The 17,549-nt window shown below is 45.6% G+C and overlaps 1 protein-coding gene across 7 annotated transcripts, besides 3 other annotated features; it reads right to left on the bottom strand.

Annotated features, from left to right (window-relative positions):
- On the bottom strand, positions 226-13,155 carry ZNF154 (zinc finger protein 154). 7 transcript variants are annotated; one of them, NR_110975.2, is made up of 5 exons: positions 12,890-13,155; positions 8,804-8,930; positions 5,189-6,739; positions 4,939-5,096; positions 226-1,792 (listed from the first exon to the last, which is right to left on the bottom strand). NR_110975.2 is itself a non-coding variant. In NM_001085384.3 (3 exons), the coding sequence occupies exons 1-3, from the start codon at positions 12,920-12,922 to the stop codon at positions 5,586-5,588; spliced, it is 1,314 nt and encodes a 437-aa protein (NP_001078853.1). In that variant the 5' UTR covers positions 12,923-13,155; the 3' UTR covers positions 226-5,585. The 7 variants fall into 7 exon arrangements, 2 of the variants coding, with proteins under 2 accessions (NP_001078853.1, XP_047295325.1); NR_110974.2 differs by having other exon boundaries at positions 226-5,096; XR_007066984.1 differs by lacking the exon at positions 12,890-13,155 and having other exon boundaries at positions 8,804-12,857.
- Positions 12,743-13,382: an enhancer, noted in NCBI's record as "NANOG-H3K27ac-H3K4me1 hESC enhancer chr19:58220160-58220799 (GRCh37/hg19 assembly coordinates)". NCBI's record gives its function as "activates a minimal SCP1, AML or CMV promoter by ChIP-STARR-seq in primed H9 embryonic stem cells {active_cell/tissue: H9 hESC(primed)}" and the evidence as "EXISTENCE:reporter gene assay evidence [ECO:0000049][PMID:30033119]".
- Positions 13,126-13,255: an enhancer, noted in NCBI's record as "active region_15153". NCBI's record gives its function as "activates an Ori minimal core promoter by ATAC-STARR-seq in GM12878 lymphoblastoid cells {active_cell/tissue: GM12878}" and the evidence as "EXISTENCE:reporter gene assay evidence [ECO:0000049][PMID:35858748]".
- Positions 13,276-13,335: an enhancer, noted in NCBI's record as "active region_15154". NCBI's record gives its function as "activates an Ori minimal core promoter by ATAC-STARR-seq in GM12878 lymphoblastoid cells {active_cell/tissue: GM12878}" and the evidence as "EXISTENCE:reporter gene assay evidence [ECO:0000049][PMID:35858748]".

The raw sequence follows: 17,549 nt of genomic DNA on the forward strand, positions 1-17,549 counted from the left end.
AAGTAGGGCCTACTCTGTCATTGGTTAGGGACACATACTTGATTTCATCCATTTGTTCTTAAATTGGAAAGGGAGACAAACATTAGAGAAGCTGTTAGTCAAGTCCTTGACAGGGGTTGTTGGGGACTTTCTCAAGGTCACTTCCTTGGGAAGGAGTCCTTCAGAAATTCACACTGAGATCTCTGGACTCTGCAGCCAGTGCTTCTTCCAAAAATTCCATCCAAGTAGAAGCTGTGGGGTCAGGGGGTTCTAAGAAGCCCCATTTCTCTTTCTCTTGTACCTTAAGACCTGCCTGGATCAGGTAAATGATAAGGCATCAACTCACTAGGTGCTGGGGATAGTGCTCGGCCCTGCTTACCACCTGCCTACCACACCTTTTGCCAGGATCCCAGAGAGTACTGTGAGCACTCCTATTCCACAAACATAAAACTGAGGTACCAAGAGGCTGCAAAACCAGCAGAGTCCTGATGCTGGGCAGTGGCAGAGGAGGGATTAAACCCAGGCAGCAGAGGGAGCAGAGGGCCTGGGGCAGCCAGGCACCGGAAGTGCTGCAAGCACCAAGACCCAGGGTGGTAACTTGCAGGGGGAGGCCAGAGCATGAAGGCAGAGGGAGGTTTTGGGTGCAGCCTCCAAGTAGGGAATGGACAGTTTCAGTGTTGAGGCAGAGTGGCAAAGACAAGAGACCCACAGCACCCAGGAAATCCCTCAGCTATAAATACAGTCCCTCAGCACTTTTCACTCCCCTTCCCAAGGATACTATCATCACCCTCTCCTCACCTTGGAAAGAAATCAGGGCTCCAACTAGAGCTGCCTTGCTGGAAGCTCGCACTGTCCTGTCCCGATGTATCATCCAGCAGCCCCAAGGCAGCTCCCCTCATTATCCTCTGTCATAAAGATATGATGTTTGCTTTTCCTCTAGGTAAAGCCAGTAAGGTAATAGAGCATCACCTGTTAGGATGAACTATGTGTGACAAATGGTGCTGTCAAATTCGTATTTGAGGACTTGTTGTTGTTTATCTTGAAAACGTGTGTAATGGGCTACATCTGCTAGGCCATATGAAGGAGTGAGGCTTTTTTCTTACCTTGCAATTTCTTAGTGGATTGTCTGTGATGTGCATCACATTCTGGTTTAATGCTTAATAAAAGCGTTTTCTGTCTCTACCTTCGTGGAGAGGATTTCTGGGTTGGGAGAAGGTTTTGTATTTATTTCACTGTTGCCATCACACACCTGTCTGCTGGGACAAAATCTCAATCACCGATTTCATCAACATCTAGTGTACAAGTTAAACAATGTTAGAGATTCAATAAGCCACATCTAGAATACAGCAAATTCTAATTAAAAAATGACTCAGCAACTTCAAGAAATAAGAAAACAAAGGTAAATGGAACCTGTAGGTTACAGACTTATGAGATACAACTACTGAAAGCTATTAAATATACATTTGGATCCTGAATAAAAATGATCTTCCTTAAGAAACACATTGTTTTAGACAACTGAGAAAACAGAAGCGATAAAATATTTACATTTTAAAATATATTTGTGTGATTTTTTGGGGGGTTATAAAAGAGCCTTTACATTTTAAAATTGCATTCTGAAGAGGCTATGCATTAAATAATATGATATCCGGGAGTATAAGTAAAATAACGCACTAGTACACATGAGGACCGATGAAACATAAATGACTATGAAATGATAAATGGTGAAGGAAAAAAAAATAGTGAAGGAAGACTGGAGAAAGGTTCATCTGGCTTCATAACAGTCTTTTCCATCTTTTTTTGTAATTGAACACAGCTGTAACAGGAGACAAAATATGTCATTGTACCAGTAATTTTACACAATGAAAATTAATTTTATATGTTGAGAATGAACTAAAAAGACAGAAGGAAACTGCGTTCCAGGGTGTAAGCATGTATGAAAATATCAAAATATGCATTTTAAATATAAGCACTTTAAGTTCCATTATACCTCAAACTACTTTAAAAAACTACTCAAAATATCCATAACAAATGAATGAATGAATAAACGAATACTGGTATATCCACAGAACATCATACTTCTCAGCAATACAAAAAAAAGAAACTACTCATAGAGGTATAATGATGAATCTCAAAATAAATACGTGACTATACCCAGGGATTAAAAAAGAGTAAATACATTATGGTTTCAATCATATAAAATTCTAGCAAATGAAAACTAATGTATTATAATGGAAAGTAAATCAATAGTTGCCTATAGGCAGATAATTATTAAAGGACAATGAGGTAACTTGTGGAATGACACGTTCATTGTCATGATTGTGAAGAAACAACTTCTTCCTAATCATTTCACTACATTTTATTTTCTACATTCTTGAGGTTATTCGTGGCCACTGTATCAGTATGGTAGAAACAGAATATATTAGGATGCTATCAGCAACTCTTCCCAATTCTACATTCAGTAACATGTTGGCAGTTTCAAAATTGGCATGGTGGGAGCAATTACAGGTTAATATGAATATCAAAGCTGATCAAATTATATAGTTTAAATATGTACCATTTATTCTTATTAAAATTATTATCAGGTTAGTGCAAAAGTAATTGCCGTTTTTGCATGTTGGATTTTGCCATTTTATATTGGAAAACATTCTTAAATAAATGTGGTTATACATCATTTTAATAGGCATTTCTCGCTTTATGTTTTTTTGCTGACTTACTACTTGCTGTTTATGTTTATTTTAGACTATGGAAATGTTAGACAAAACTCAAATTTCAGCGATTTTTTTGAGATAGAGTCTTGCTCTGTTGCCCAGGCTGGAGTGCAGTGACATGATCTTGGCTCACTGCAACCTCCACCTCCCGGGGTTCAAACAATTCTCGTGCCTCAGGCTCCCCAGTAGCTGGGATTACAGGTGCATGCCACTATGCCCAGCTAATTTTTGTATTTTTAGTAGAGACGGGGTTTCACCATGTTGGCCAGGCTGGTCTCGAACTCGTGACCTGTGATCCACCCACCTCGGCCTCCCAAAGTGCTGGGATTACAGGTGTAAGCCACCGCATCTGGCCTCTTTTTTTTGAGACGGAGTCTTGTTTTGTCTGTCGTCCAGGCTGGAGTGCAGTGGCGTGATCTTGGCTCACTGTGACTTCTGCCTCCCGGGTTCAAGTGATTCTCCTGCCTCAGCCTCCCAAGTAGCTGGGACTACAGGCACATGCCACCACGCCCGGCTAATTTTTGTATTTTTAGTAGAGATGAGGTTTCAATATGTTGGTCAGGCTGGTCTCTAACTCCTGACCTTGTGATCCACCTACTTCAGCCTCCCAAAGTGCTGGGATTACAGGCGTGAGCCACCGCACCCGGCTGAGATTTTCTTACTTGAGTTCCCAATGGGTCGTAAAGCAGCAGAGACAACTCACGATATAAACACATTTGGCCCAGGAACTGCTAACGAATGTACAGTGCAGTGGTGGTTCAAGAAGTTTTGCAAAGGAGACAAGAGCCTTGAAGAGAAGTAGTGGCCAGCCACTGGAAGTTGACAATGACCAATTGAGAGCAATATTAGAAGCTGATCCTCTTACAACTACATGAGAAGTTGCCTAAGAACTCAATGTCAACCATTCCACGGCTGTTCAGCATTTGAAGGAAATTGGAATGGTGAAAAAGCTTGGCTGGGCGCAGTGGCTCATGCCTGTAAATCCCAGCACTTTGGGAGGCCAAGGTGGGTGGATCACATGAAGTCAGGAGTTCAAGACCAGCCTGGCCAACATGGTGAAACCCCATGTCTACTAAAAATGCAAAACTCAGATGGGCGTGGTGGCGGGTGCCTGTAATCCCAGCTACCTGGGAGGCTGAGGCAGAAGAATCGCTTGAACCTGGGAGGCGGAGGTTGCAATGAGCTGAGATAGTGCCATTGCCCTCCAGACTGGGCAACAGAGCAAGACTCTGACTCAAAAAAAAATAAAAATAAAAATAAATCATGGTTCAAAACCACAGTTACTTTTGCACCAACCTAACAAAATATGGTTCAAAATAAAAGTCTGAATTTCCTATTGTTTTTGGAAAATCAGGTTTGACAACCCTATGTTGATTCCACCATCTCTCTCCTCATGTCCTGGGAGAGGATTTTGCCTCAGTGATCACAAATACAAGTGAACAGTGAAGGCCATTTCCACCTGACTCAACAGAAATGTTGGCTGGATCACAAAGGCTGTATCAATGGCCTAGACCTCCCTTCTCTATCCTTGTTTTCCTGCCTGCATAGCAATGACCTTGAGGTGAAAATCCCAGAGGCTACAGGATTCCATAAAATTTCTGACAATGACCTCAGCTACACAAGATACACAATTCTGTAGGTCCTGAGGATTTCTGTACCTGCTCATCCTTAAGAGCCATAATAACGAACATCATGGAAACCTCTGTAAAAGGGGCACATTCTATTTATTGCAGTGTTATTGCAGTTTTCCACTCTCTATCAATCCAGTACTTCTATAACAATTATAATTCCTACTATAATCTTACCACCTGTGGTGCTACCCTGTGGAATTCAGGATATCAAGGCATACAGGACCTGGGGAACAGATTTCCCCCACTGGCACTGAACACGATGCAGTATTCCTTGTGAACAAGAGAACAATTTCATGTTGCTTTCAGAAACATCAAAGGATGTCAAGTAACTGCTGCCTCCTCAGGCTGACCTCTATGGCATCCAGGATATAAATTAGGACAATACCCTGTAGTTTTTTCTCAGAGGCCTTGAATAGCAATGAAAACTAGGCTCAAACTAGAGAGAGAGCTATATTCTGCCATCCTACTGTCCCTGTCCCTGTCCCTGTTGAGCTACACAATGTTTGGGATCTCCAAAAAAAGTTATTCACCCCTTCATGTTAGCAGAACCCAACTGTTTTCAAACCAACCCATACATATAGAACCCCCAAGATTAATAAGGCCTTTGTTATTGTACAAACCAAGGCAATAAGAGGCAGTTGGTTCCCACAGTTGGTGATTTGAAGGCTGGCAAACTCTATCAAGAGTCATGTGAGACCAACAATATCCTGAAATATGTAGTCCCTCTTTTCAGGTCACCAGCAGAGTCCTCTGGGCCAAACTGGGTCAGGTCCATGGCCTAACTCATCAGAAAGGAAAAAAAAAAAACGGAATAAATGCTTAGGCTATTTACAAATTCCTCCCATGAACAGAACACCAAGGTTCACTTACCTGAATACACTGGGATGGGTGAGTGGTGCACACTGGTGGTCACCTGCCAGGCAGTAGAGGTAAAATGGCTTCCACTATAGTATCAGCAGAGACATAAATCTGACATGGGCCCTGGGCAGGGCAAAAGGTGCAATGCAGTTCACACATACCTGGAATTTATGCAGATGTTCAGATATAGGATGTTCAATTCAGGCTGATGCCACCCTCATAAGGGATCTCCTTCAGAGCTGTTATATCAACTGGACATCCCTACATATCAAAAGTGTCTTTCCCTTGTGAACTGTGTGGCACTCAATGAGATATGGCCTTCAGCTGAAGCTTTCTGACATTCACTGTGTACTCAAGGACTTTCTCCAGGGTGCTAACAGATTTTCCACATTTGCCACTCATAAGGCTTTTATCGACTATGAATTCTCTGATGTTTAATAAGGCTGGAGTTATGGCTAAAGGATTTCCCACATTCCGTGCACTCATAAGGCTTCTCCCCAGTGTGAACCCTCCTGTGCTTAATGAGGCCGGAATTTTGAGTAAAGGATTTCCCACATTCACTGCACTCATAGGGTCTTGATCCAGTGTGAACTCTCTGGTGTTTTCGGAGACTGGAGCTGTAGGGAAAGAACTTCCCACATTCACTGCACTCATAAGGCCTCTCCCCAGTGTGAACTCCCCGATGTTGAAGGAGTGCAGACCTTTGGCTAAAGGATTTCCCACATTCGCTGCACTTATAAGGCCTTTCTCCAGTGTGAACCCTATGGTGTTCAATGAGGCTAGAGTTTTGGCTAAATGACTTCCCACATTCGCTGCACTCATAAGGCCTGGATCCACTGTGAACTTTCTGGTGTTTTATGAGACTGGAATGATATGTAAAAAACTTCCCACATTCACTGCACTCATAAGGCCTCTCCCCAGTGTGAACTCCCCGATGTTGAAGGAGTGCAGACCTTTGGCTAAAGGATTTCCCACATTCACTGCACTCATATGGCCTTTCCCCAGTGTGAACTCTCCGATGTTTAATGAGGTTAGACTTGTTGCTAAATAATTTTCCACATTCATCACATTCATGAGGTCGTACTGCAGTGTGAACTCTCCGGTGCTGAATGAGACTAGAGCTTTGCCTAAAGGACTTCCCACACTCTCGACATTCATAAGGCTTTTCTCCAGTGTGAAGTCTCCAATGGTCATTGAGACTGTAGCTTTTGCTAAAGGATTTCCCACATTCACTGCATATGTAACATCTTTCTGTAGTGAGGGTTCTCTGCTGCTGAACAAGTGTGTGTTTACCGCTGAATGCTTTTGTGTGTTCTCCACAGTTGTAATGAGTTTTTCCTCTGTGACTGATGGCCCCACCGTCGCTTTTGCTATTTGATTGCTCCCCAGTGTGAGCAGCCTGTTGATGGAGAAATCCCAACTTGGCCAGGAAGTCCTTCCCAACTTCTCTGCAGGTGGAAGGCTCCCCTGACACATGGAATGTGCAGGTCTTCACAAACAAGGCTCTGCCCACATTGCTTCTGAAATGTTTTTCTCCAAGGTGCTGCTTCTGATGATGAACATCTGCAATGAAATACAATTATTTCCCACATGCCCCACCTCTATATAATTTCTGCCTATGATGTGTCCCCTAGGGCCCAGCCAAGAGCAAAATGTCTCTCAAGACCAGGCTACACGTCTCACAGTGGTGGGCCTTCTAGGGAGAAAGATCTGCCTTAGAAGTCCTGAGTTGGGTCACTCCTTCTAAAGAAATGCTCTTGTCAGAAGGTGCCTCCTCATCCACCACTCTATGCCAAAAACCTAAAAGCAAGAAATGCTAGTGAAGTGCACATTAACTATGGTGGGAGGGGGCAGCCCTTATACAAGTGTGTGTATGACAAACCCAGGAACAAGTCCATGGGATCGTTTGCATGACAGTAGAGTTGGGTTCAGTTGCAGATGAGGCTGTTTAGCAATTCTAGGATAAAGATTACAAGAATGGGCCGGGTGCGGTGGCTCACATCTGTAATCCCAGCACTTTGGGAGTCCAAGGTGGGTGGATCACAAAGTCAGGAGTTTGAGACCAGCCTGGCCAATATGGTGAAACCCCGTCTCTACTAAAAATACAAAAATTAGCTGGACATGGTGGTGGGTGCCTGTAGTCCCAGGACTCAGGAGGCTGAGGCAGGAGAATCACTTGAACCCGGGAGGCGGAGGTTGCAGCGAGCCAAGATTGCACCACTGTACTCCAGCCTGGGTGACAGAAGGAGACTCCGTCTCAAAAAAAAAAAAAAAAAAAAAAAAGATTACAGGAATGTGGGAGATCTCAAGAGGTAAAGGCCACAACCATGAGGTATCACAAAGAGAGAGGCAGGGTCTAAAACTAAATCCTCTGCAAACAACTTTAGCAGAAGCTTATCTGCTGGCGACACATGAGTGCTATGTAGAATAGTATATGCAAGCCCATGGAAATACGACTGCAATGCAGCAGCTGGCCTTCAAGGACTGTTTAAGAGTATGTGCAAGGACAGGCGCAGTGGCTCACACCTGTAATCCCAGCACTTTGGGAGGCCAAGGTGGGTGGATCACAAGGTCAGGAGTTCAAGACCAGCCTGGTCAAGATGGTGAAACCCCATCTCTAAAAAAATACAAAAATGAGCCAGGTGCAGTGGCATGCGCCTGTAATCACAGCTACTCAGGAGGCTGAGGCAGGAGAATTACTTGAACCTGGGAGGCAGAGGTTGCAGTAAGCCGAGATCATGCCACTGCACTCCAGCCTGGGTGACAGAGTGAGACTCCGTCTCAAAAAAAAAGAGTATGTGCATACCTCATGACACACTATATAGAGGCTAACGTTAGAAAGAACTGCAGGTGTAGCAGTGAGAAAAACAGATAAGATACGGAGTCCAGAGATGTGAGGATTAGCCCCAGGCTGGATGTTAAGAGCAGAAGTGACAAGTAGTAGAGCTGACTTGTCAGCAAAATGTCAAGAATGGTGAAGGGAAACCGGAAGTGAGCTGTGACCACTGGCATTGGCACCAAAATGCTCGCCAAACAGAACAGGTTGCTGCTCTGATACAGCATCTGGATAATGTAAGTACTAAGGGAAGAAAGAACAGAAGAGCAGCCTGCACTGTCCCACAAAAAACTCAGCACATGACAGCCCACAGGAAAAACACACACACACACAAATACTACAAAGAAAATTTCAGAGGAATACTTTGTAAGAAGAGTCCATGGTCTACATAAGTAGTGACCATGTCAGTGACAATAACTCCTGGCATAGGCAGGCATAATGAAATGCCAGCTCGGGATGGAAGTAGTAGCTGGGGCACACAGGATCCTCAAATCTGGAAAAAGTCACCCAGACATGGAGGGGACAATCAAGGTGGGATCCACTAGGGTGACTGCAAGACTGCAGACTCTGAATCCTTCCCTGTGAGGCTGTGAGGAAACAGGTACTGGGGCTCCTCAAGGAGAGGAGAAGACAGTATGCACACCTTAGTCTTACCAATGACAGAACTATGCAGGGAACTGAGAAAGAAGCAGAGCCCATAGTCTTGTCATGAGAAGGACAGACCTGCCTATAGAGAAAAGAGGAAGGGCACAGACTAGCTCAGGGCACAGGAAAGGGTAAAAGAACCTTACCTAGAGAGGTTAAAAGAGCCAAGTTCTCCAGCATCACATCACGGTACAGGCATCTTTGAGCCTCATCAAGGAGACCCCATTCCTCCCAGGAGAAGTGTACGGCCACATCTTCAAAGGTCACAGTGCCCTGCCACAATGGGAACAGATGAAACCACCAAGAGCCCCTATCCCAAGGACCCACAATGCATACCCCCACATCTTTACCCCATGCCCATTCTCTTCCCAAGCTCCCCAACTGAGAGGAGAAACCAGCACATGGATAAATAGGCATCTAAGCTGGGGGCCTGGCATGGAAGGATCCATACTATCCCATCATGAAATCCCCCTGAAATGTCCAAGGTCATCTAAGTCTCAATACCAGGGCCCTGCAGCTGTCACTTACTCCCTTTCCAGATGCACATCATTCTTCAGAATACACATCCCTCCTATCTCCAGACACCACAGCCCCAAGCCCAGGGCTGCCACCTCACTGCCCACACCATAGGCATCTCCCTGCTCTTACCTCCCATGTCACTGTTTTAATCTCTTCCTCTTTACCCCATTAGCGAAGGCAGGATTGCCACACTAGGGTTATGGATATGGACAAACACACAATACCTGACACTAGAAAGACGATACAGCAGTTGGGTATGGTGGCTCATGCCTGTAATCCCAGCACTTTGGGAGGCCAAGACGGGTGGATCACGAGGTCAGGAGTTCAAGACCAGCCTGACCAATATGGCGAAACCCCATCTCTACTAAAAATACAAAAATTAGCCGGGCGTGGTGAAGCACACCTGTAATCCCAGCTACTCAGGAGGCTGAGGCAGGAGAATTGCTTGAACCCAGGAGGCGGAGGTTGCAGTGAGCCAAGATTGCGAAACTGCACTCCAGTCTGGGCGACAGAGCGAGACTCCGTCTCAAAAAAAAAAAAAAAAGAAAGATGATATAGCAGTTTATTAATCATATGTACATAGAACCTGGGAGATGAGGACAACATGTACCACACAGGGTCACATGGGGGTCTAGTCCAGAAAAAAAGTGAATAACCAAAAACTGTGGGATGCAAGCACTTTGAGAACAAAAGGATCAACTGCCCCCTGGTTCCCACAATGGGCTTGTTTGGAAAACTCCATGACCTGGTAGGGAGCTGAAATCTGCTACAAAGTGATAGGCAGAAATTGTGCCTGGTCTCCTTGATTAAAAGGGTTGTCTGTTTGGGAGAAGAGTAGGGAGGGAAACTTGTACTCAGGCCATTTGATGCCACCCTGATTTCACCAGATGTCATACTGGGCCTTAATTTTAGACTTTACACCATAACTTAGCACACAGCGTCCAGAGTATGCTCGACAGATTCAAACGGATCTAATACTACCCTAGATCTCCCAGGGCATCCACTAGTGGTAGCAGCCCCAAATCCTATGAGGGCTCCCTGGCTGGCTCCATTCTTTGCCTCAGATTTAGGCCACACAGAACCACATGTGCATCTCAGATACCCATGGCCCTATTCCACTTCCGTGCTGCACTTGCTAGCCCCTCAGCAGTAACAACCTTCCTCTGTCCACTTAACACTCAAAGACTAGCTCCACTGATCACCTACCCCAGGCCAAGTGACTGTCACAGATGACCACATTGGCACCTGGCCTTATCCTCCAGGTTGAATAAACACCCTAGGCCCCATCAAAGTCATCAAAAAATCCTGGTGATTCCACAGAGTGCTGAATAAGCACAAAGGAAAAAAAGGACAGCCATTTGCCTCAAATACACCTATGCCTCTGCATCCACCTTATATCCACTCTTCCCTTGAAAGTGTATGCCACCTGCCCAACTATCCTCTCCAAACACCCTACCTCCATAGCCACTAACCTCCCTTACCTCTGTTTAGAAAGCCCAAGAATATCACCCACTTATCCAACCAAAAGGCTTGGTCCTTAGCCCCCATTCTGCCCTTCCTGGCCAAATAACCTGTACCACCATGCCTAAAGATTAACCCTTGTAGGCCGGATGCGGTGGCTTACGCCTGTAATCCCAGAACTCTGGGTGGCTGAGGCGGGTGGATCACCTGAGGTTGGGAGTTCAAGACTAGCCTGACCAACATGGAGAAACCCTGTCTCTACTAAATAAATACAAAATTAGCCGGGCGTGGTGGCGCATGCCTGTAATCCCAGCTACTCGGGAGGCTGAGGCAGGAGAATTGCTTGAAGCCGGGAGGCGGAGGTTGTGGTGAGCCAAGCTCGCGCCATTGCACTCTGGCCTGGGCAACAAGAGAGACACTCCATCTCAAAAAAAAAAAAAAAAAATAGAACAACCCTTCTAAATGTAATCCACAGCTCACTCACCTTAGTCCACACAATGACCACCACATTTTGGATGTCTCCATTCTGAAGCACTCCCCAGATTTCCAGACCTGGGTGTTCAGCCACCTACTTAATGCCTACTTAATGTCTCTGAAACATCTCAAACTCTTACATGACCAAATAAAGCTCCTGTTGTCTCCAGTGAATATTACTGTTAATACCAACTTCTCCATCTCAGTTGAAGAACCATGGGGTCATCGCTGAATCCTGTTTCACTCCCTCGCTGTCTACATCAGAAAATTTAGTTGCTCCCTTTAAAAATTTGCATCCAGAATGCAACACATCTCCTAATCAATGACTCTGGTCCATTACCCTGGACTGGCTGTAGCTTCCACTCTGATCTTCTTTCCTCTTCCCTCAACCCCACAGTCTGCTCTCCACGCTAACGGGATGGACCCTGTTAGGACTTTGGTAAGATCACCTCCCTCTTGTAACCCAAATCTCTCATTACCTCCAGAATAGGTACCCAACTTCTCAGGCAGCCACTGCAGTCCTGACTCCTTCCCCCTGCTCTTTGTTCCCAGCTAAAAGGAAACAGATCTATGGTTTCCTCAAAAATCTCAGCTTAGTTTTACTAAGCACTTGCGCCTCCTGATACCAGTGCCAGAGATAACCTTTCACAAGTTTCCACTGGCTGACAAAAATGGGAACACCTCAGTATAACCCCTGTAACCTCTGGCATGGACTTAAGAGCCCTGGGCTTGGAATTTCTCCAGGGCACCAGACCCAGGATTGGGGTAACAGCACTTAAGAATACTAGGAAACCACAATCCCAAGAACATGGGGGTAGAGGCTACTGAGGGACCGAACACTCTCCACTTCCCTATGTGAGTTCCATACGCCCTTCTACAACTGGGAGAACCAGGGAAAGAGGAATGCATCCCTGGTGAGGCTAGATGAGCTCAAGCCTCCCTGTAGCCCTGCCTGGCCCTGAACTCAGGCTGGCTGTTTTACTTTCTGGTCTCAGTGCTGTCACCTCTTGCCAACTGTAGGGCAATGAAAAAAAGATGTAGCCTCCCACTATCTCAATGTCCTCATCGCCCCATCGCTGCTCTTCCTGTGAACAGTCTTTGGAAAAGTTTTTAAACCCTAACATAGGGCGGGCACGGTGGCTCACGCCTGTAATCCCAGCACTTTGGGAGGCCGAGGCAGGAGGATCACTTGTCAGGAGTTCCAGACCAGTCTGGCCAAAATGGTGAAATCCCGTCTCTACTAAAAATACAAAAAATTAGCCGGACGTTGTAATCCCAGCTGCAGGCTTGTAATCCCAGCTGCTGGGGAGGCTGAGGCAGGAGAATCGCTTGAACCCGGGAGTCGGAGGTTGCAGTGACCCGAGATCGCGTCATTGCACTCCAGCCTGGGCGATAAGAGCGAAACTCCGTCTCAAAGAAAAAAAAACTAACATAAATGGCGTCCCTCCTTTGTTCAGAACTCTCCGTGGCTTCTAGCATCCTCACAATGACAGTACAACCCTAGGAGTAACTCCGCCTCATATTCTTCGTTCCCTGCAGAAAACAGCTTTCCGAATTCTCCTGGCTCAGTCGCGCCTCAACCTTTGCACGCGCCGGTTCCTCCGCCTGTCACGCTCTCCCACACCTCGTCACACGCAGTGTCAAAAAAAGGGCCCCACCCACGAACGCCTCAGTGTCCCCGACCCTGGGCAGCGGGGACTCGAGCAGGCGCCCCTCACTGATGGCTTTAGAACGTGGGTGGGGGAAGGTGTGTGAGGACGGGAAGACGCCGCACTCACCTGAGTTGGCGTCCTCAGAGTGGCCGCTGCCATCAGACTCTGCGGGTAGAGCTGGGCCGGGAGCGACGGGCGACATTGGTAGGGACCCGGGGACAGCGGTCCCTATCCCAGGCCTGACGTGGGTCCCCCAGGGCGGCGTCGCCAAGGCTTAGACGCTTTCGTGCAGGAGGGACGACGACTCCCCTCACGCCTTCGTGGCCCCAACTCGGCGCTCTGCTATCTCTGATCCGGTGAACACACCTCAGAGAAGCTAAAATGGCCGCCACGAAGAGGCCCCCCCAAAAGTCCCGTCCTTTCTTTTTGTGACTCTCAAGGAAAGTCGGTTTTCTGAGCTCTTACTGGCTTAGTAGCGTGGCGTTCAACGCAGAGCATTCTAGGTAATGTAGTTTTCATAGATCCCGAGGTGGGTGCCGGGGACCCTTTGCACCAACCTCTTGGAGTAAAAGCGAAGCTCCAGGGCGCTGGGCGATGAGAAATGGCTTATCCAAGTCCTAGGGCAGTGGAGGGACTTCGCCCTTTCTTAAATGGGTCGTAATCAGACAGCATATTAGAGGTGCCATCTGCAACTGATCACCCAAGTGTTTGGGGAATATTATTTCAAACTTCATAAAGTTCAGCAGGCTCCCAGAGGCTAAAATTATTATCAGACGCTCCCTAAGGCTGCCAATCCAAATATGTACATCATTCCATAGAGCCATTCAGACACGAAATATATCCACTAGTAGGGAAGCTAATAAACATTACCATATAAGTTTATTCCTTTTTTTTTTTTTTTAAGACAAAGTTTCCCTCTGTCCCCCAGGCTGGAGTGCAGCGGCGCCATCTGGGATCACTGCAACCTCCGCCTCCCGGGTTAATCGATTCTCGTGCCTCAACCTTCCAAGTAGCTGGGACTATAGGCGCGCGCCACCACGCCAGGCTAATTTTTTGTATTTTCAGTAGAGACAGGGTTTCACTATGGTGGTCCCAAATTCCTGGCCCCAGGTGATCTGCCCGCCTCGGCCTCTCAAAGTGCTGGGATTACAGGCGTAAGCCACCGTACCCAGCCTCTATCATATTACATTTCAAATGTATGCACTCCGAAGCATTGAAGTCAGTCTGTGCACTTTTGGTCAGGGACAGGTGAAAAACTACTTCAGATAGTGGCATGATAGTGCTTCTAGAAGATAGAAGAGAAATGTTAGATCACCTTGAAACAGTAGTACAAAGGTAGAATTCTGTCTGATTCCAACAGAAAACATCTTTTGCCTGCATAGTCAATTATTGTGTCCAATTACTGTGTCCAGTCAATAACTGTGTCCAATTCACTGAGCAACGCTTTTATCCATTTCATAATTCTTACTTGATATCTGAGATATATTCCTTCTAGAAGTCTAACATCAATCTCAAAAAACAATGAAAGAAATGCTACTTTGATAAGAGACAAAGGGGAGAGGTGGGACTTCTTAATCAGAAAGCCGGTGAAATGCACTTGAAGGAAGTGAGAAATGAGCCATGTGGGTATTTTTAGAATAAATTCCAGGCAGAAGAAGCAGGTTACTAGAGTGCCTGGATGGATGGAGACTTCACAGGGCATTTCAGCATTGGAGGGCCTAGGGCTCCAACCCAGCAGGCCTTCATCTGCTTTGCTGGCTGCAGAGACACTCAGGGTATATAGGTGAGAAATCTCTTCTTTTTTTTTTTTCTTTTTTTTTGAGATGGAGTTTCACTCTTATTGCCCAGGCTGGAGTGCAATGACGCAGTCTTGTTTCACTGCAACCTCTCCACCTCCTGGGTTCAAGCGATTATCTTGCCTCAGCCTCCCAAGTAGCTGGGACTACAGGCGCACGCCATGACACCCAGCTAATTTTTGTATTTTTAGAAGAGACGGGGTTTCACCATGTTGGCCAGGCTGGTCTCGAACCACTGACCTCAGGTGATCCACGCATCTCGGCTTCCCAAAGTGCTGGGATTACAGGCATGAGCCACCGAGCCTGGCCGAGAAATCTCTGCTGCTTTGTTATAAAGTTTTGGAGCCGCAAAATAAATAGCACTCGAATATAAAATTTTCTTTTTAATTCTCAGCAAGGTAATGTACTTTTTTTTTTTTTTTTTTTTTTGAGATGGAATCTTGCTCTGTCACCCAGGTTGGAGTGCAGTGGCGCGATCTCGGCTCACTGCAAGCTCCGCCTCCCAGGTTCACGCCATTCTCCTGCCTCAGCCTCCCGAGTAGCTGGGACTACAGTTGCCCACCACCATGCCTAGCTAATTTTTTGTATTTTTAGTAGAGACAGGGTTTCACCATCTTGGCCAGGCTAGTCTTGAACTCCTGACCTCATGATCCACCCACCTCGGCCTCTCGAGGTGCTGGAATTACAGGCGTGAGCCACTGCGTCCGGCCCCAACATTTATTTTAATGTTCAGATTCTCCCAGATGTTTGGACAGTGGGAACTCATTAAAGCTGTGCTCTCTGCTTTTTTATGTCAATATTATTGATAATTTCATTACTTTCTAATCCAAAAATATTTTCAGGCTCATGTTGTACCCTTGCTATCCCAGCCCCAGAATCAGCCTCTTTTTCAAGGAGCTCTGGTTTTCTTCAATAGATAACAATGCTTGTAAATATTAGTAAGCATTAGCTGTGCTCTTTTCTACTGGTAAATCATTGATTATTAGGTCCTCTTGGAGAGAAAGCAGATACATACACATGCACGCACACATTTTTTTTTTTTTTTTTGAGACAGAGTCTTGCTCTGTCGCCCAGGCTGGAGTGCAGTGGCACGATCTCGGCTCACTGCAAGCTCAGCCTCCGAGGTTCACGCCATTCTCCTGCCTCAGGCTCCTGAGTAGCTGGGACTACGGGCGCCTGCCACCACGCCCGGCTAATTTTTTGTATATTTTTAGTAGAGACAGAGTTTCACCGTGTTAGCCAGGATGGTCTCGATCTCCTGACCTCGTGATCCGCCCGCCTCGGCTTCCCAAAGTGCTGGGATTACAGGCGTGAGCCACCGTGCCCGGCCACTTGCACACATTTCTATACAAATTTATTTCTACATCTATATTTACATCTGCAAAGACTTGAAAAATTCAGATATTTGAAATGACTCATGGGACTGAAAGCACTCTCTCATAAGGCTTTTATTTAAATATAAAGCATACAGTACAGCTAGAGAAAGACAGAACAGGCATCAGGGCTCAGAAAGATCTGGACCCATGACCCTCAGGATTCTTATTCACAAGTGGACATGCTTCATCTCTGGACTGTGCCACTAATATATATGGGATGGAGCTTGATTTCAGAAGAATTAATAACAGAAATTTCCAATAGGGACTTTTATGTCCCTCTGGCTGCATGACCCAAGCCAACCTAGCCATTTATGCCAGGTAAAAGCCAGCTGTAAAGACACGAAAAAATTTCAGAGTTTAAGCAGCACATTGTAACTCCCACTGCCTTTCTTTGCTAAAAGTCAAACTAGGTATCCAGATGTCCCCAGAGATAAGCATAAAATTGTCCTATTCCAGCTATAAAGTGTTATCTGTTCTCCACAGTCATCCCTTTGTTGGCTGGGTATTTTTAATTACAAATCACTCCTTCTTAATATTACCCTACATCATTTTCACTATTTATAGAACAGAACAAGCAAAAAGGGCAGCTGTCAAAATACTTTGTGTGCATTATTTGAGAAGTGGGTATTGCTTCAAAATATTTCAGAAAATGAAATAGCCCAGCACAAAGGTTCATAATCATGCACAAGATTGGCTACTATTTTACCTCCTTCCATCATCAACTTTAATAACAGTATCAATAGACCCATTCAATTCAAAGTTAATTCTAGTTCCTCTCCTAGCCAATATTTTCCACGGATAGAACATCTTGTGGTTGTTTTAATTCAATTTCTCACTTCATTTTATAATCTGTATCAGTCTTATCATAAGCTTTGTTTGAAATGTGTTAGTCAATTTGTGATGCCATAAAGGAATATCTGAGATTGGGTAATTTATTTAAAAAAAAAAAAGAGGGAGATGTATTTGGCTCACAGTTCTGCAGACAGTACATGAAGGAAAGTGCCAGTATCTGCTTTTGGTGAGGGCCTCAGGAAGCTTACAATTTTGGCAAAAAGTGAAGGAGAGCCAGCGTGTCACATGGTGAGGGAGGGAGCAAGAGAGGTAGGCAGGAGGGGCCAGGCTTTTCTAAACAACCAGATCTTGCATGAACTCAGTGAGAACTCACTCACTACCATGAGGACAGCACCAACCCATTCATGAGGGATCCACCCCCATGACCCAAAGACCTCTGACTAGGCCCACCTCCAACGTTGAAGGTCACATTTCAACATGAGATTTGCAAGGAACTTACATCCAAACCATATCAGAACACATCAAATTAATTTTACCAGATATACCAGTATTACACCAAATAGCAGATAACATTATGAGTCTGATCATGATCATTACAAAATAAGTCAAAATTACAGTATATTCTCCACCTTTCCTTCAAATTGGGGTTCTTGCCCGTATACCAAATATATATGTTTTTTAGACATAGGTTCTCACTGTCACCTAGGCTGGAGTGTAGTGGCACCATCATGGTTCACTGCAGCCTCGAGCTCCTGGGATCAACTGATCCTCCCACCTCAGCCTCCCAAGTAGCAGCTCATATACCACATATTGTCCTACAAA

Source organism: Homo sapiens, chromosome 19 (genome assembly GCF_000001405.40).
Source record: "Homo sapiens chromosome 19, GRCh38.p14 Primary Assembly".
Taxonomy (NCBI): Eukaryota; Metazoa; Chordata; class Mammalia; order Primates; family Hominidae; genus Homo; species Homo sapiens.